Source organism: Homo sapiens, chromosome 1 (genome assembly GCF_000001405.40).
Source record: "Homo sapiens chromosome 1, GRCh38.p14 Primary Assembly".
NCBI lineage: Eukaryota > Metazoa > Chordata > Mammalia > Primates > Hominidae > Homo > Homo sapiens.
In genome coordinates, this window is record NC_000001.11 from 209,667,252 (window position 1) to 209,686,629 (window position 19,378).

Below are 19,378 nucleotides of genomic sequence, written 5' to 3' on the forward strand. Positions count from 1 at the left end.
TGGATTGCTGCAACAGTAGGGGCAGTGACCTCAGAACTAATCTTTCTCTAGAGCTCCTGATTCATGATTCACATACAACTATCTGATGAACATCTTTGCCTGCATGTCCCATAAACAGCCCAAACTCAATAAATCCAAGATGGAACTCATTTTTCTCACCAGAGGTGTTCTTCCTCTTCTCATTCCCACACTTGGGAGTCACCCCAGTGACTCCCAAGCCCCAAGTGACTCCTCTTCCACAGCACAAGTCTGCCAGGTTTTCTGATTTATCACTCAGTCTGTCTCTTTCTCTCCCCATTACCTCTGTTTTGGCCCAGTTCTTCATGGTCTCCTGCCTGAATTACTGTAACGACATCTCACTAGCTGCCTCTAGTTTTGCCCCTCCCTTAACCATCCTGCACTCTGCCACAGTGATCTACTTAAAATGCCAATCTTGTAGTGTTTTGCTGTGTAAAATGTATCAGTGTCTCTCATTGCCTATAGGATATAGTTCAGTCGAAGATAGATTGGTCGCTATGTATCAAACACCTCAAAGGAACTATGCACTGCCCTAGTTCTGAGAACACTGCACTGAGCAAGACAGAGAGCGCTCCTGAGTAGAACTGCAGCCCTGAAATGGGGACAGACAACAGAGTTATGAAAAGGAAAGTGAGGTGGCCATGGGAGCATGCAGCAAAGGGAACTGGCCTTATCTAGGTGACAAGAAAGGTCTTCCCTGAGGAAATGAGAGAACAGTGACACTTGGAGGATGAGTAAGAGTTCACCAGACCACAGGGGATGAAGAAAGTGCTCTCTCCACATGGAAAGAACTACATGGGGAAGAACCTGCGTCTGCAAAGGAACAGAACAGTGTGACTGGCACCCAGAGAGTGAGGGTTGAGGGATATGGGATGAAGCTGGAAAAGCAGACAAGGACAGGATGGTGGGTGGCTTATATGCCATGCAAAGAATCTGGGGCATTCCAAAGGGCAAAGTGGGGATCCACTGAATGATTTTATTTTTTTTTTATTCCACGAACTTTTTGCTAACCACTGAAGGATTTGAAAGAGAAGAGTGACATGGCCAAGTCTGCACTTTTTAAAAAGACTACACTGGCTTGAAGTGGAGTAGAGTGGCCAAAACCTGAGGCAGAGAGACCAGCTGTGAGGCCATACTAAATGGTCTGGGGGAGGCAATGAGATCTTAGACTAGAAGGGTGGCAGAGGAGATAGAAAGCAGATTGAATTAACAGATGTTTAAGAGGTAGAATGATAAGTCTTGGTGATTTTTTTTTTTTTTTTTTTTGAGACGGATTCTCGCTCTGTCGCCCCAGGCTGGAGTGCAGTGGTGCAATCTAGGCTCACTGCAAGCTCCGCCTCCCGGGTTCACGCCATTCTCCTGCCTCAGCCTCTCGAGTGGCTGGGACTACAGGCACCCGCCACCAAACCCAGCTAATTTTTTGTATTTTTAGTAGAGATGGGGTTTCACTGTGTTAGCCAGGATGGTCTTGATCTCCTGACCTCGTGATCCACCCGCCTCAGCCTCCCAAAGTGCTGGGATTACAGACGTGAGCCACAAGTCTTGGTGATTTTTCACATTGGAGAGGTGATGGAGAGCAAGGAGGAAAAGATGGCTCCTTGACTTCAAACCTGAGCTGCTAGGTGAATGGTGCAGCTTAGGTTAAGAAAGATGGTTACAAGTTTATGGGGTAGAAATATTGAATTTGGCTTTAGACACAGTAATTCTGATACCTGCAAGACATCCAAGTCAAAATGTAGAATAGGTAGAGGGATACACAGGTCTAGAGCTCAGACTTGTAGGTCATCTGTGTAGAAGCAGCAATGGAAGCCCTGGCAGTAAATTAAATCACTGAAGAGAGCATGTGGAATAAGAAAAGGGGCTCCAGGACTGAGTCCTGAGAAATGCTGACATTTGTAGGTTAGATAAAGAGGACAATTGAGATAAAGATCCTGAGTTTTGTCCAGAATAGGGTAAGAGGAAAACCAGCAGAATATGGTATCGTGGAAGCAAAGGAGAAATGTGTTTCTAGAAGGGAGTGGTCAGCAATTCCTAGGCATGGGATGAATAAGTGATTATTGATACAACTGCTTATTATCTGGCTCCTACTTACTGCTTCCTGCTCATTTTCTGCCATTTCCCAAAATCCATCCTTTATGATTTAACACCAACTTGTCTAACTTCTCTTGGACCATGTGATGCTTTATCTTTCATCCTCCCTTTTCACATGCAGTCCCATCTCATTCAAGGCCTCCCCATGCCCTGAACAACACCCTGTCCCAGAACCACCTGGTGAACACCATCCATCCTTTAACATCCCAAGCCTCTCAGGAATCATTTACCCTTAGGCCTTCTTTGACTACCTCCTCCCCAAAGGGCATCAATACCTGTCTCATTCTGTGCTTTTTGTTCATCTGGTATAAATTTCTATTACGGTGCCTTTCCCAATATACAATAATAACTCGTTTACAGTCTGTGTCCTCTACTTCACTATAAGCTTCTTGAGGGCAAATGCAGTTTGTATTCTGCATTTTTTTTTTTTTTTTGAAACAGAGTCTTGCTCTGTCACCAGGCTGGAGTACAGAGGCATGATCTCGGCTCACTGCAACCTCCACCTCCTGGGTTCAAGTGATTCTCCTGCTTCAGCCTCCCATGTAACTGGGATTACAGGCATGTGCCACCACACCCGGCTAATTTTTGTATTTTTAGTAGAGACAGGGTTTCATCATGTTGCCCAGGATGGTCTTGATCTCCCAGCCTCCTGATCCGCCCGTCTTGTCCTCCCAAAGTGCTGGGATTACAGGTGTGAGCCATCACACATTCTGCTTCCTATAACTATGCTTAACACAGTGTCAGGTACATGGCTGGCTTCAACAAATATTTTTGGACCTTACTAGAAGCTACCTAAATGTCACCTAAGGAATGCAAATGTCCCGGGCTGGGATAAAGCATCATGGAAATTGCCGACGTAGAGCAAGAGGCAAAGACAATTGAATAATAACAGCCATCATTTAATGATTGCTTCATTTGTGCCAGAAACTGCCTAAGTCCCTTACAGAGCTCTATCTCATTCACTCTTCATCATATCTGTTTCATAGGGGCTTATCATCATCACCACACCCCATTTAATAGGGGCTATCATAACTCTCACTTCACAGATACGGAAGTAGAAGTTATAGAAGTTAAGTCACTTGCCCAAGGTCAGGCCTTAGCAAATGGAGGAGTCAGGATTTGGAGGAACCCAGGTTTGCTTGACTTTAGAGCCCTATACCCTTAAGACCAATTGGCATTTGAGCTTGGGGAAAATTCCTTGTGCTGACTCAAACTTGTAAAGTATATTGTTTAATCTGGAAGTGGTATGTAGGCAGCAGGGTGCAGGTAATTCTAACCACACCACCCATGGCTATTCAAGGCTTCCAGCACAGTCTGCATGCCCCAGCAGCTGGTGGCTCTGCTTGACCAAAAGTTATGAAGGACAAAAGCAGAATGCCTATAAAGTCTGTTCCTTTGCCTTGATTTGTACCACGGGCAGGCTGGAGGGTGCCCAGAGTGAGCCAATGGCTACAATGTCAGACACTAAGTTGGGAGTGGAAGTGAAAGGTGAGGAGACCAGAGTGGAGGAAACTAAGCCAAGTTGCCAGGTCTTGGGCAATTTCAACACCAAGGCTCTGAGCCAAGGACAGGCTACTGTGCTTGAAATAACTTCCCAAGAGAGCCTTAACTGGTCACTTTGCCCTCTCTATCTCAGCACTGACTTTTAGGTCAATGTAACTAATATTGATTAGCCTCCTATTCTATGTTAACACCATGAAAGATACAAAGCTTTTGTCTTCCACAGAGCTGAGGCAAGCCCACAGGAAACAATGACAGAGTTGTACAAAACGGTAATCCATCCAGTGCCAGCCTGTAGAGTACAAGCCCCAAAGGCAACTGAAATTCACAGAAAGGAGAGATCAAGGTGTGCTGCCATGGGCAGTGGTAGCTTCTTGGAGCACAGGAAATTGAACTTGACCTCAAGGAAGAAAGGAAGACAAAGTAGAAAGAGGACAGCATTTCAGGTAGAAACAACTGTGTGAGCAAAAATAAATGAAGCAGCAGCAATGCGAATGAATTGTTTCTTGGCCTGTGAAGAAACCTCTCTGTGGAGCAAAGGGCTATTGTGGGAGAAGAACAGGAGAAGATCGGACCATAGAGAGCCTGAATTCCAAGAATACTAAATCAAGCAAATTCAACATGCAGGATCCAGGAGTCCATTATGTGGGCAATGAGAAATGATCTTGGCCTTTAAACAGGCAGTTGACAATAAAAAATTAAATTTTAGGAAGATTCATTTGGTGGTAGTGTTTAAGATGGATTAGAGGAGAAAGGATTAAAAGCAAAAAAACTGTCCCCTCAAAAACCTGAATGCTTCTTTAAGCATCTACTAAAAGTTGGACTGCATTCAAAAACAAACAAACAAACAAACAAAAAACAGTCCCTTCCCTGCCAGGCTTCACAGTCCATGGAAAAGCCATTCATTAATCCCATAGTTACCCATTAAGGACCTATTATGTGCTAAGAATTATACTGGGCACTGGGGACACAGTGAGGAGCAAACCAAAGTCCCTATCCTCATGAAGCCTATCCTCCAACGCACATGGAAGACAATATAAAACCACACCATTAAGTACATCCACATAGAATCAGGTAACCAAGTGCTATGAAGAAAAAGAAAGTAGGGCACTGGGTGGAGAGTGGTGGGATGCAGTAGTCAGGGAAGGCCTCTCCAAATAACTTCCATGATATTTCAAGCCCAGAGAACAAATGAAACGGAGATGTCACTGCTAGAAATAAGGATATTGAGAAGAAGACTTAGCTTGTAAGAGTATAGAGAAGGTAAGGAGTCTTGTTTTAAGTGTGTCAAGCTGTGATAATAGCAGTGTATCCACACAGAAATATTTAGACTCTAGAACTCTAGTCTATAAGACCAGAGGAGACAGTGGCTACACATATAAATTTCAGTGTCTTCCACTGATATCCGAGTGATAAGCAACTTCCTTTCTAAAACTATGAAAGTAACTAAGGGTCTAAAAAAAATTTCTAGTGCGGTAGTCTTAAAACTACAAATAGTTTTGTCATATCTCCTATGATGACTCCCTCCCTTCAGCTGCCTGGAGCCCCAGGGGTGGGCAGTGACTTTGTGTAGGCAGCAAGCAGCCGGTAACAAAATAATAATTATTATTGTTATTATTATATTATAATAATTGTAACAATAACAATTATTATTGAAGCTCATTTACAACTAACCATCCAAAAGACCTCTTTCCCCTGTGTCTTCAATCCCCAAGGCAGAGGGGTAGGGACAGTTCTATCCCTCCTCTGCACTTAACCCTTGAAACACATGCACCCCTTTGTGACTTTACCCTCTGCAGATGGCTCTGAATGTCTTAATGTCTGAGAGAAAGGGATTTAGAAAGCAAAATATAAAAATTTTAAACTAGTCCTTCCTACCTTCCTAGAAGTGGCAAGAGTTAAATGTTGAGATAGACTCAAGGGTAGGATGACTATTTCAGTTTGCCTGGAAGTGTTTCAGTTTGCCTGGAAGTATCTCAGTTTTAGTGCTCAGTTTTAGCAGGAGTCCTGCATTTCAGAGAACCCCTCAACCCTGAGCAAAATAAGATGGTTGGTCACCCTATGGCTTGGTTTGACCATCATCGCTATAACCTGTATCTTACCTGCATGCATGACACAACACAGTGCTTTACTTCCCTAAAAATGACATCAGCCCCACTAAAATATATGTTTAGTTTCCAAGCCCTACCTAGTCACCTTCTACCCTAGGAGCCAGGTTCTCTTTTCCCACCCAGACAGAGGAGCTGCACTCAGAAATTCCTAGACATGAGTTAACACTGGATTCCTTAGCCTTCTACTCCCATCATCTCCTGCTCAGCCCCAGCTACCACCTAAACTAGGAAGATCAAGTCTACCAGTGACCTCCGTCCATGGCACTTGCTGCCCCTCCTCTGTCCAGCTCTTACCAATATAGCTGCTGGAACCTGGAGGTCAAAGTCAAATTATCAAAAAAAGGAACTGAGCTGGTGATGTGCACTAACACAGCAAATCACAGGAAAGGGGAACCCCAGGTAAATTACAGCCTTCTGACCTAGGAAGACGTGTGGTTTGCGTCTCTGAGTTACAGAAACACAGGAAATGCTTACTGGACCAGTCAATTTCAGAATTTTGGGTCCCAAGCTAGGCTGACTCACCTTCAGAATGGAAACCACGTGACAGCCCTTATATCAGGGCACACATCACATGCTCTTCCAGAAGTCAATGGGTTTGGAACCCTCACAGATATTGGGAAAGCTCACTAATCATTTCTGCCAGTTATCAGAGGTTGCTCTGAAACTATAAGGAAGATTCAAAGAAAATGCCAAGACTGATATTAAACTTGGCAGGAACCCTTGTTACAGAATTTTCCTGCCTGACAAGGTTAAAAGAACAATAAGCAGGAAACACAGTCCTCCAGGAATAATCAATTCTATTTGGCCCCTGGTCACCTTCACTCAGACTAAATTCTAAAACATAGAATTTCAAATAAGCTATTTAGATAACCTTGACCATTCTCCACACACAAGCCCTTGCCTGAACTATTAATAGTCAAGGCAAAGGGTAGTTGTTATTGCTGCCTTTTTAAACTGAATCATCTGAGAAATTGCTTCAGACCCCCAAAGAAAGATTACTGTTAACAATTCAAAAACTAAAATATTTGATCCCTGAGACAGCCTTTTCCCCCGACCCGCCCTTCAGGGCTCAGTCCGACCGACTGCAAAGGCTGTTGCAAGATTGCATCACTGACCTTTGCAATTTTCTGGCCAGTTTGATTTCCCCTTCTTTCCCCTGCCCCCTCCCTTTCTCTGCTTAAAGGCCTTTGGCCAATTTGCCTCTCCTTTTCCCCAAGTTTGCTAACCCTTTGGCCAATTTGCCTCTCTTTTTCCCCAAGTTTGCTAACTCTAGCATATCCATAACCAAAGCCAAACTAGAACGCTCCCTCAGCCCCAGGTGATTACAGCTAACCCTGGTCAAAATCAATCCTACATCTTCACACGTCCAAGAGTACTCACACTCTGGATTCTTACCTAAGCTGTCTACTACACGCCCTTCTGCCCACAAACTGCTTCAAAGCTGAAGTTGAGCTGGAGCAGTGAAGTTGTACCCCCAAACCCAGGAGGGTGGCAGAGAATTATTGAGGAGAGCATGAAATACTTCCATTCTAAAATGGCAGATGAACTTCTACCAACAGCCCCTTCCATACTTGACCCCCTACCCCCAAGCTCCCAACTCCACTTCTCAAGTGGAAGTGAGAACAATTTGAATTTGAAGGCTCTTCCCTGATACACGGAAGTACATAAGGAAACAGCTCGCAGGCAAAGAGACTAATCTCTCTCTCTTTCTCTCTCTCTCTCTCTCTCTCTCTCTCTCTCACACACACACACACACACACACACACACCTCTGTGCATAAAAGCACCATCAATGAATAGTTTTCTATCAACTGACTCTAGTTATACATGCATGTACCTCTAAATAAAACCAACCAGGCAGGAAAGAAACAATATTAGCACATATTGCTTTATCCAAGCGTAACCTGTTCTGTCCTGTTACCCAGATCCTTCCCCCTTGCCTTCTCCTCTCTGATCCATTGCCACACACGTGGGAAGGTGACAACCCTTCCGAATAAAAATGAAAGCTTTCTTCTTTAGATGGAACCCCCAAATTCCCTCATTATTTATAATGTCAGGCTGTCCTGGACAAGGGAAGCTGTGCACCCGCTGACACCAGTAAGAAGGTTGCCGCCATGTCAGAGATGTCCGCGGACACCTCCCTGGGCTCCGGGTCCTCCCCTGCGCTCGCCTGGAGTGGGACCTTCGCGTGCACACTGGCCTTCCCACGCGCCCCGCTGCGATGGCACCCGCGCCGGGCCCCCTAGCTCACACAGTCGGAGCGTGCTCAGCGCGTGGCCACCTCCTGCCAGGTCCCAGCCGGGTTCCACCCCCTCCTTTTCCCCTCCTCTTCTTCCTCCCCCTCCGAGTTCCCCTGGCTCTGACCGCGCTGGCCTGGGCCGGAGAGCCCAGGAGGCGTGTCTCAGAGAAAAGATATAAGCGGCCCCCGGACGCTAAAGCGGTGCCAGCGGCGGAGTCTCCAACTGGGAGAGCTGCAGCTGCCGAGAGGAGGAGAACGCTGAGGTCGGTCGGACCAACGGACGCGCTGACCGCTGCCAACTGCAGCTCGCGCTGCCTCCTGCTCGCGCCGTGCCACTAAGGTAGTCCGCCTTTCTATGAGCCCTCCCCAAGATTAGCTGGGTGCGGGGTGGTGGGAGCCGTTCTTTGGTGGCTGAAGCCCCTCTCCTGCTGCTCCTCCTGCAGGTCATTCCCGCCTCCGAGAGCCCAGAGCCGAGATGGAAACGGTCCAGGAGCTGATCCCCCTGGCCAAGGAGATGATGGCCCAGAAGCGCAAGGGGAAGATGGTGAAGCTGTACGTGCTGGGCAGCGTGCTGGCCCTCTTCGGCGTGGTGCTCGGCCTGATGGAGACTGTGTGCAGCCCCTTCACGGCCGCCAGACGTCTGCGGGACCAGGAGGCAGCCGTGGCGGAGCTGCAGGCCGCCCTGGAGCGACAGGCTCTCCAGAAGCAAGCCCTGCAGGAGAAAGGCAAGCAGCAGGACACGGTCCTCGGCGGCCGGGCCCTGTCCAACCGGCAGCACGCCTCCTAGGAACTGTGGGAGACCAGCGGAGTGGGAGGGAGACGCAGTAGACAGAGACAGACCGAGAGAGGAATGGAGAGACAGAGGGGGCGCGCGCACAGGAGCCTGACTCCGCTGGGAGAGTGCAGGAGCACGTGCTGTTTTTTATTTGGACTTAACTTCAGAGAAACCGCTGACATCTAGAACTGACCTACCACAAGCATCCACCAAAGGAGTTTGGGATTGAGTTTTGCTGCTGTGCAGCACTGCATTGTCATGACATTTCCAACACTGTGTGAATTATCTAAATGCGTCTACCATTTTGCACTAGGGAGGAAGGATAAATGCTTTTTATGTTATTATTATTAATTATTACAATGACCACCATTTTGCATTTTGAAATAAAAAAACTTTTTATACCATATCTCATGTAATTCCTGAGAGGTGTGGTGTCCTGGGGTGGGAAGCAGGGAGGGTGAGCAGGTGGGCGATGGTGATGGGTTCTTACCTGAGCACTGCAGAGGGAGCAGCTTCCTGAGGGTCAGACACTTGCTTCACACCTAGGAACTGTGTAATAAGTTACTACATGCATATAAGTCTGTTGAGGACTTGTTTTTCCTTCTTGTTAGGGGTGGGAAGAGAGAAAATTTTATAACTTCCGTGAGATTTAGCATTTTAACATCAAAAGGTAGATCAACTTCTGAGCTACAGTGAGTAGGAGATAACTGATTAATTCTAAGGCAGAAAAGCTCTTTGTTCCTTACACCTGTGCACCAGAGGTTCCCATGGCTGATACCTTTTTCTTCCCAACTATATTTTAGACAGACAGACAGAGAGAAGGAAAGAAAATGAAGGAGGGAGGTCTGGAGGTGAAGGGAAGGAAAGAAAGGAAAAACTATCTACCTGGCAGGAAAAGAGATAAGCTCCCAAGAACACCAAAGCAGATGATGAGTCTAGCTCTACCCAGCCTTCCTCCCCACGAATCCAGATCATAGTAAGAAACTCTGGGCTAGAAAGAGAAAAAAACCGGTTGTTACATATCTGAGTCCTCCTCCTCCAGTGTACAGAGCTTCATCTGTAGTAATAGCTAATTCAGTGACTCTATAGGGCTCAGCAAAACAAATTTTAAACTTTAAAGAAGTAGCCAGGAGCCAGAGGCATGGCCTTGATGCTAGTCTCCTCACATTTTTCATGTCACCTGTCCTAATCAGGTACTGACACTTTACTCCTTTCATCAACAGCTATGCATTTTTGCCAAACATATCACTGGCTCACACCATTGCCTCTGCTCAGACTCTCTCCTTCGTCCAATGCCCTACACACATCTCCATTTCATTTCTGCCAACTCAATTCCTACCAAGTGTTCCTGGCCCTGATCAAAAGCCATCTCTTTCTGAAATCTATTCTTATCACTCCCAAAGGAAAAAAGCAATCAGAATGTGGTAAGATTAATCAAGGAAAAGAAACATATTTGGAGTTTTAAAGGAAAAGAATGTCAGTGGCACCATGGCTCTCCCAGTTTCCAAAATGGGAAATTCAGCCCTATACCAAGGCAGAGCCTCACTTTCAATGTCCAAGAAACTTCCTAGGAACTGACTCAATTTTATCCTTCCTGCTGGTCTTCCAAAATGCCTCTTTTATTAATTACTCCTTTACCCATTCAGTTACCACCTTGTCTGGCTCTCAACCGCTCAAGCCACCCCCTGCACCTTCTAGCACATTCACCCTAAACAATCCCTTGTCAGACTGTCTTCCTTTAATATCTTTCATTCTGCTGCTCCTGAACTCAAAAACATCTGAGACTAAAACTCTTATGCCAGGTTTCAGTGCCTCTGTGATGTGCTTCCATCACAGCTGGCCGTCTTGCCTGATTTGTCAGGGTGCCTAGCATGAACCCTGGTCCTTGCCTGTTTCCTTCTGGTTTTCTGCACCTTCATTTACATTACTCTTCCAACCCGAATTTCCAACCCGAATGTCCTCCCACCCACTACCTCCACATCTTCTGAAACCACATACCTCAAATTCTCCAAGGAAGGTATGATTTCAAATACAGGTATTTTGCCCATTGTCAAAATACATGTAAAATTGTGTGCTCTGATTTTTGAGATGGAGTCTTGCTCTGTCACCAGGCTGGAGTGCAGTGGCACAATCTTGGCTCACTGCAACCTCTGCCTCCTGGGTTCAAGCGATTCCACTGCCTCAGCCTCCCGAGTAGCTGGGACTACAGGCGTGTACCACCATGCCCAGCTAATTTTTTGTATTTTGGTAGAGATGGGGTTTCACCATGTTGGCCAGGATGGTCTCAATCTCCTGACCTCATGATCCGCCTGCCTCAGCCTCCCAAAGTACTGGGATTACATGATTTTTTATTTAGAGGGTAACGCCTATGTTTTGAAAGGTTGCCTATACATAAAAAAATAAAGTTCCCTAAATATATAAGTATGCCTATATGTTTTTGTGTAGAAGGAAATTCCCCATGCCTATTTATATTCAAATTACCCAACCCAATCAAATCCGAGCTATTGAAATCTCTGTTCTCACTGGTCTTCTCAATTCTCTGAGTTCTTATAGGCCGTACAGCCTGAATCTCATACCACATCACTCAGTAATGGGCTTTTTTTCTTCCAGTTGTTCTGTGGGCTTGGTCATGTCTCTTACAGTATAATCTTCTTGAAGTAAAGGACCATGTCTTCTTCAGTGTTCACAGAAATCATTAGGTCCTAGGCAAATAGTAGGTTCTTAATAAATACTTGATTGTTTAATCATTTATGAGGCTAGAGCAGTGATTGTAAATGAAAGGAGAAGCAATTTTGTCCCTCCAGAGAACATTTGACAGTCTAAAGACATTTCTGGTGTCTGGGTGAGGGGAGGGGGCAGGACTGCAAGCATCTAGAGGGTAGAAGTCAGTGGGCTGTTAAACATGTTCTAATGCACAGGACAGCCCCCAACACAAAGAATTCTCCATTCCAAAATGTCAATAGGGCAGAAGTTGAAAAATTCTGGGTTAGAGGAAAGTAAGGAAAAAGGATTTGCTTAATAATTTCAGAATCGAAGTTATGAGGTGGTCTCACAAGGCTCTGTCTGGTTACAATCAAACATGTTCCTCCCCCAACACAGGAACAAAAATTGTCTTTTTTCCTATGCTGCTTGGTAATTTTACCAACAACCTAGGAGAGGTAGCAGAAGGTATACTTATCAGTTCTGTTGGTGACACAGAGCTGAGACAGCACAGTCAGAACTCAAAACAACTCAATAGGCTGGAACCACGCATCGAAGAAAAACCAACTGAAACCGAATAGGGAAAAAGATACAGTACAGAATTCAGATCCAAAAAACCAATTGCACAACCACAGAATTTGAAAGACATATTCTAGCAGCAGATCATGTGAAAAAGATCTAGAGTTTTTTGAAATTTTTAATTGACTCATTATAATTGTACATATTTATGGAGTACAATTTGATGTTTCCATACATGAACACATTGTATAATGATCAAATCAAGGTATTTAGCATAGCCATTGCCTCATGCATTTATCATTTCCTTGTGGTGAGAACATTCAAAAGCTTCTCTTCTAGCTATTTTGTAATATACAATACCTTACTGTTAACCATGGTCACCCTACTGTGCAAAAGAACTCCAGAACTCTTCCTCCTAATTGAAACTTTGTACCCCTTGACCAGCCTCTCCTCATCCTCCCCTCCCCTATCTCCCCCCAAGTCTCTGTTAACCACACTGATCTACTCTATACTTCTATAAGATCAGTAAATATACACATATATATATATATTCCACATTTAAGTGAGATCATGTGCTATTGGCTATTCGTCTTTCTGTGTCTGGCTTATTTCACTTAACATAACATCCAGGTTCATCCATTTTGTCTCAGATGACAGGATATCATTGTTTTCCATCGTTGAATAGTATTCCATTGTATACATATACCACATGTTCTTTATCCTTTCATCCACTGCTGGCAACTTAGGTTGATTTCAAGTCTTGGCTATTGTAAACAGTGCTGCAACAAATATGGGAGTACAGATATCTCTATATACCCACCAGTGGGAATGCTGGATCTTATGGTGGTTTTACTTTTAATCTTTTAGGAACCTCCATGCTGTTTTCCATTCCATTAGGAGCTGTGCTAATTTACATTCCCACCAACAGGGTATAAGCATTCCCTTTTCTCTACATCCTCACCAACACTTGCTTTCTTTTGTCTTTTGGTAAGAGCTATTCTAACTATAGTGAAGTAGTATTTAATTGTGGTTTTGACTTGTATTTCCCTGGTGATCAGTGATGTTGAACATTTTTTTTTCATATGCCTGTTGGCCATTTTTATGTCTTCTTTTGAGAAATATTAAGGTATTTTGCCCATTTTTAAAATTAGGTTACTTGGGTTTCTTTTGCTGTTGGGTTGTTTGAGTTTCTTATACATTCTGGATATTAACCCTTCATCAGATATATAGTTTGCAAATATTTTCTCCCATTCTGCAGGTTGTCTCTTCACTGCTAATTGTTTCCTTTGCTGTGCACAAACTTTCCAGTTTGATGTAATCCCATTTGTCTATTTTTGCTTTGATTGCCTATGTTTCTGAGGTCTTATCTAAAACTTCTTTGCCTAGTCCAATGTCTCAAAATATTTCCCCATATCATCTTCTGGTAGTTTCATAGCTTCTGATTTTATGTTTAAATCTTTAATCCATTTTGAGTTGATTTTTATAGGTATGCGTGACGTAACAATGGGGCTACATTGTGAGAGATGCTTTACTAGGCGATTTTGTCATTTGCACAAACATCATGGAGTCTACTTAAAACATACCTAGATAGCATAGTCCACTACATACCTAGGCTATATGGTGTAGACTATTGCTCCTAGGCTATAAACCTGTATGGTATATTACTGTACTGAATATTGTAGGCAATTGTAACATAATGGTAAGCATTTGTATACCTAAACATATCTAAACATAAAAGGTACAGTAAAAATACATTATTATAATTTTATAGGACTACCATCATATATACAGTCCCTCATTGGCCAAAATGTTATGTGGCATATGACCTGATATGGTGAGAGGTCAGGATCTAGTCTTGTTCTTCTGCAGGTGGATACCAAATTTTCCCAGCACCATTTATTGAAGAGACTGTCTTTTCCCCAATGTGGGCTCTTGGCAACTTTGTTGAAAATCAGTTGGCTGTAGGTGAGTGAATTTATTTCTAAGCCCTCTATTCTGTTCCATTGGTCTATATATCTGCTTTTATGCCAGTATCATGCTGTTTTTGTTATTATAGCTTTGAAGTTTATTTTGCAGTCAAGTAGTATGATGCCTCTAGTTTTGTTCTTTTTGCTCAGACCTAAAGATTTTTGGTGGTTACAAGTTCAATAAAAGCCAACGAGGGCTTATAACAGGACTTCTAAAACAAATTAATGCTTCATTAGTAGAAGTATAATGTGCAGAAAAAGAGAAGAGCAGGTGGCTTTGTTATACTTTGCATTCTGTCAAGATGAAAAACTAAGAGTTTAAATCGGACTGCCTGGATTTGCTTGGGTTTGCATCTTGACTCTCCTATTTGTAGTTCTAAAACCTGGGAAAGTTATTTACACACACACTGTCTCTCAATTTACTTAAATTCTTTCTTCATCTGTAAAATAGTACCTTCCTCAGGGAAAATTTTGCTGATTAAATGAGTTAATACACATAGAGTTCTTACAGTAGTACCTTGCATATAGCAGGCTCTATCAGTCAATGAGAGCTATTATTGTTATTGTTAATATTTTAAGACAAACCTTGACCAAAAAAAATCTACTTAGATTTATTAGAGTGACGAGGGCAAATAAAAGTCCAGAAACTCTATCACATACAAAACAATTGAAGAACAATAGAGATATTAGATTCAGTAGCTTTACATGACAATTGCTCCAAATATTCCAAGAGCTGCTATATTGGAGAGGATAAGACTTATCTGGCTCAAAAATAGAGAACTAGCACTATTAAGCAGGATTACAAGGAGGCAGATATTATATTATTAAGATATCAGAGTAATTAAAAAACATAATGAATTGCCTTGTGATATATAGTAAGCTCCCCATTACCAAAAGCATTCAAGCAGGGGTTGGAAGTCATCTGCCAGGGATGGTATAAACTGGAGAGGAGATTCCTGGACTTGGAGGTTGCATCCAGTTATAAGATGCTAGGATTCTGTCTAATATTACCACCAAAAAGCGGATGTATTTCCCTTTCCAGCCTGTCTGTCTAGATCATCCCTTTCTTTAAATGCCTCTTTATTCTTTTTCTCAGCATATTGATAAATATGTTTCCTTTTCACTCAATTACTATTAAATGTGATAAATTTAATTCCAAAAATAAATTATTTCTTGATTAAGCTCATCTAACTAATGCTTTTGCCTTTTATAAAAATACCTTAACCTACTGGTCAAACCTAATAGTCTCAAATTTGGTCATAGTGAAATGCCTATTAAAGTTATCTTCCTCTTCACAAAACACCACAAAATTTGATCTATTTATAGAAATAAATATATATAGTTTTGTGCTATATTAGATGCCATCTTGCACTATATTGTAATGAAAACAAATAGTAGGTATCAACTGAGAATATTTAAAGTTTCCCACATTCTTAGGAAAATTTGATTGTTCTGTAGTCATGCTAACCTGAACTAGTAGAAAACCCAGTGGCTTAATCAATGACAATTCACCTGTTAAGCTTTTAGAAGCCAACCAATCAGTGATAGGCCCTCACTTCTGAGAGTCAACCAATCAGGAATGAACTCATGCCATTAACTGCATCTCAGAGTGCTAACCAATCAACAAATAGTCATGCTTCTATAGCTGATGTTAGCCCATTTATGTCTGGGAAAGTACACCAGTCCCTGACCTTCATGCATCCTCGAAACCCTATATGAGATCAGCAGCCTGCTTTTCAGAGAGATTGAGCAGCAAAGCTTGCCCTTACTATAATGAGCAATAAGTTTACCATTTTTGTTTTATTTTAGACCTTAAATGGGGGACTCATCATTCTTTGACAATTCTGGAAGCTCTACTGTGATTGTTTTAAAGACCTTCCCTTGGCAATATTCCAGGGAACATGGGACCAACAGGTACACTTACTGGGCTCCTTGTGCCCAAGTGCATTTGTCCTTTAGATCTGCTGCCTGGTGAGAAAATCTCAATGATAACCTGAGATCTGACTGGTTTCATTAAGTTCTCATTGCTTCTGTGATTTACAAGCAAACAGGTCTTTGTATAAGATCATTATGCCTAGTTCTTTGTATTACATAATTAGAAAATTTAGTCAACAGGTGCACATTTTAGTAAACAATTACACCTAGACCCTTGTAAAAGGTCATTAGGCATTTTGTTTGGGAGGTACACCATTGAGTAATTGGACATAGGTCTTGGTATAAGATCATTTGATATTTTGTGTGGGAAGTATACCACTGGGTAGTTCAACACAGGTCTTTTTATAAGTTCATTAGACCTTTGGTTTTGGAGGCATAAATATTTTTACCATTAAACTGTTTATTCCCCTCCTACTCTCTGTTTACTTTTGCTTGTCTATATTAAAAAATCTTATTGTATTTTTTCTGTATTGTCTTATTTCTGATATAAGGGAGTGTTCCAGAGGAAATGAATGGAGATATATACTCCATAAGTTACCAATCCAATCCAAGCTAGTCCTCAGCGATAACATTTGGAGGTCCAGTAAACTGAAAACCAATTTGGGAAAAGGCAATTGGTCAGATCTACAAAAAACTTTGATGAGAGCATGCCCTGTCTTGTCAGTCTGTGATAGGACACTTTTAGTTTGTACACTGGGGTGAAAGATTTTGTCAGGTCATTAATTATGTGGTCCTTTCTAACCTTTGCTTAGAAAGGGAACCCAAGATAGCATTCACAGGCACACACTTTTACTCAGTGGCATCTCTTGTTCTTCTTGGTTTCTTCCATGTCAAAGCTGCAGTCTCCACTGGAAGAACTCCTGCTTTCCATATAAAATTGCCATATAATCCTAACTCTTGTACTTATTTTGGTAAACTGCAAAAATTAATGTTAGAATAGCAATGGCCATCACGTAGAACTTCTGACATGTCAAAATGAATAAATTAAGATATTTAAGAGGAGGCCCAGAAAAATTAGGAGACAAAGCCCCAAAGAGGCAATAGTCAGCTTCTTTCATTGGTAAGCTAAGGCTTCAAAATAAAATTTTAACTTGAGAATGGTCTCTCTCAAAGACTCTGATACCACCTAAAACCTACCCTCCTTTCATTTCTCTTTCTACTCAGCTTTACCTGACCTTCAACATGAGACAACCGTTTCTTCTAAGTTTTCTCTGAAAAAGAGTAATCACATTGTAAAACTGCTAAACCAGAGGGGAGCCCTAAAAAGCTGAATTTAAACCCTGGCCTGGAGCAAAATTAAAAGTTATCATGAAAGATTTTCCTAAGCCTCAGGGGTGGTTGAGCAGAAATTAGTTAACAATTCAGGATTTTATTAGGTACTTATTGTTCTGGATTAAACATCTGTACCAAATGATTCAGTTAATTGTTAGTCCATCCAATAGAGAAAAAAAATTATAAGCAGCAGGGTAAGAAAAAAATTAAATAACTCAGTTGTGCAAAATGAAAAACAAACGCCTTAAGTGGACAAGAAAAACCTTGAAAATCCAGTACAAAAAGCAATTTCAAAAAAATCTTTCTTTTAAAAGTATGTTAGACAAAGATTAAAAATTGTAAACTAAATGAAAATGAAAAGAGACTTCAGAAAACTTTCAAAGAGCATTCTGGAGTACACTCAACAGCTGAAATAAAAGAAACATTGTCTTTATTTTTTTCTATTAAAGGGCTCAAATATGAATTCAGAGATTTAATGAGAAAAAAGTAATTGAAATATGAAACTGACAGCTTAGAAAATATCCAATACATAGCTAGATATTTTCAGAGAGCTCTAGAAAGTAAATAAGCTAGAAATCAATAGAACGTATGGTTCTCTACATAAAAAAACTTGCCCCGAAATAAAAACAAAGCCAAAAAGTCTTCTATTTTCTAAGAATTGGGAACATATAGAGAGGGGTACTTGTAGATATTGCAAGCAAAAGTGTCATTCAAAGAACCAATGTTCCACATTGGCTAAGTAACAGAAAGATGACTATCCAAAATCTGTCTAATGGTGTTTCTCCAAAGGAGACATTAGTACCCAACAATTACAGTCCTTCCTCGGAGTTTGTGTCCCCAAATCTCAGAGGGGCCAGTCGCTATACTCTCCATCAGGGCATAGCTACATCTAGCATGGCTTACCACTCTATCCCCAGCCTCTAGCCCAGTGCCTAGCATAGAGTAGATGCTTATTAGATATCTGTTGAACAAATGAAGAAATAGAGGAAGAAAGTACATTTTTGTTTTGACATGCTGTAGTCCCTTCCTTAGTCCAGAGATCACAAACCTCTGAATTGGGATGTGACTCTCTCTGTCATTAATCGGCAAGAATCATGGTAGAATTATTGTCCCTACTTACGGATTCTCTTTCCCTTATACATCCCATTGCAGATTCCTGTCTTCCCTTTACATCCACTCCAACATCAGCTGATGCAGTCACTAAAATGGTTTATAAGTCACATATGAGATTCCCTAAGGAGTTTATAATTGAGAAATGTGTGGACACACAGGCCTCACAGAATGCACTGGATCACTAGAGTCTCTCCTGGTGAAAAGGGAAAACCTGCCCAAATCCAGTTTTTGTTTCAGTAACTTCCTTTGAGACAAAGTCAGGAATCTGAGAGTAAGCACCTGCTAAGGGTGGGACAGGGGCTCTGTCTGGTATGCCTCTCCCATGTTAAGAGCTAACAATAGTAATGGATAAGTCTCCAGGGCAACCAGGACCACTTCCAAGCATTCCTGTCTTGGGCTGCCTCGAGGGCTCCTCTGTCCTTTGGGGAGTACTGATTGATGCCTGATGCCCAGAACTGGCCCACTCTGGCTTCTCTTTGGAGCTGTCTCTGCAGGCGCCTTCTGGCTGCCAGCTCGGTCCTAGCATAAGGGACTTCTTCCTTGGCCTGGGTTTCACCTTCTTGTATCAGGTGGCAGACCAGCTGGTTTCAGTCCCAAATCAGGTCTTCTGACTCCTCCCAGAAACCAACCAACTTCTGAGCAGGAAATCCTGCCCCTCCCCAAAGAGTGGGAAACCGCAAAGGAAGAGAGAGATGAAACAGAAGGAAAGGCAGAGGAGGAGGGAGAGAGAGAGAAGAGAAGAAAAAGAAAAAAGAACATCAATAAAAAGAAGTCAGATTTGTTCGAAATCTTGAGGTAAGACTTTTAAAAATCACATTATATATAATAGTATCACCATTTGTATCAGGGCCTAGTACATAGTAGGTCCTCAAAAAAATCTGCTATTGAAATAATTAATCTATCGAAATGAACAGGAGGGCTGGGCTAAAGAAAAATTTCAATGTGAAATGCTGGTCAGAAAAAACAAGAAGAAACGCCCGATGAGCTTTCAAATGTGTAGGAGGGATGATATGATAAGATGCAGATGGAACCAGAAGTCTCTTGCTGGCACTGACAGCATTCTGATCATTGTGGGACAGAAAGTCAAGTTGGAACAAAAAAGTTGCAAAGATAGTATAAAAAGTGTCTGCATGTTCTTT

The 19,378-nt window shown here is 42.3% G+C and overlaps 2 protein-coding genes and 1 long non-coding RNA gene across 6 annotated transcripts in view, besides 2 other annotated features; 2 read left to right on the forward strand and 1 right to left on the reverse strand.

Moving 5' to 3' along the window:
- Positions 1-19,378, reverse strand: part of HSD11B1-AS1 (HSD11B1 antisense RNA 1) — an 81,204-nt gene that overhangs the window by 5,893 nt on the left and 55,933 nt on the right. The window contains exon 1 of one of the 3 annotated variants that reach the window (NR_134511.1): positions 7,971-7,998. The exons of the other annotated variants lie outside the window; for them this stretch is intronic. This is a non-coding gene — a long non-coding RNA (HSD11B1 antisense RNA 1). Of the gene's footprint in view, positions 1-7,970; positions 7,999-19,378 lie in introns of those variants that run through there. 3 annotated transcript variants of the gene reach the window in all.
- Positions 5,753-5,992: an enhancer, noted in NCBI's record as "active region_2469". NCBI's record gives its function as "activates an Ori minimal core promoter by ATAC-STARR-seq in GM12878 lymphoblastoid cells {active_cell/tissue: GM12878}" and the evidence as "EXISTENCE:reporter gene assay evidence [ECO:0000049][PMID:35858748]".
- Positions 8,161-9,139, forward strand: G0S2 (G0/G1 switch 2). Its single transcript, NM_015714.4, has 2 exons — positions 8,161-8,298; positions 8,402-9,139. The coding sequence occupies exon 2, from the start codon at positions 8,434-8,436 to the stop codon at positions 8,743-8,745; it is 312 nt and encodes a 103-aa protein (NP_056529.1). The 5' UTR covers positions 8,161-8,298; positions 8,402-8,433; the 3' UTR covers positions 8,746-9,139.
- Positions 8,273-9,121: an enhancer, noted in NCBI's record as "H3K4me1 hESC enhancer chr1:209848869-209849717 (GRCh37/hg19 assembly coordinates)". NCBI's record gives its function as "activates a minimal SCP1, AML or CMV promoter by ChIP-STARR-seq in primed H9 embryonic stem cells {active_cell/tissue: H9 hESC(primed)}" and the evidence as "EXISTENCE:reporter gene assay evidence [ECO:0000049][PMID:30033119]".
- The window catches only part of HSD11B1 (hydroxysteroid 11-beta dehydrogenase 1), a 48,751-nt gene continuing 48,300 nt past the window's right edge, over positions 18,928-19,378 (forward strand). For both annotated transcript variants that reach the window (NM_001206741.2, NM_181755.3), the window contains exon 1: positions 18,928-19,034. The gene's annotated coding sequence lies outside the window, so the exon portion shown is untranslated. The remainder of the gene's footprint in view (positions 19,035-19,378) is intronic.

Bases quoted from the DNA above. Each gene is read 5' to 3' on its own strand.
- G0S2 (NM_015714.4), top strand. From the start codon at position 8,434: ATGGAAACGGTCCAGGAGCTGATCCCCCTGGCCAAGGAGATGATGGCC.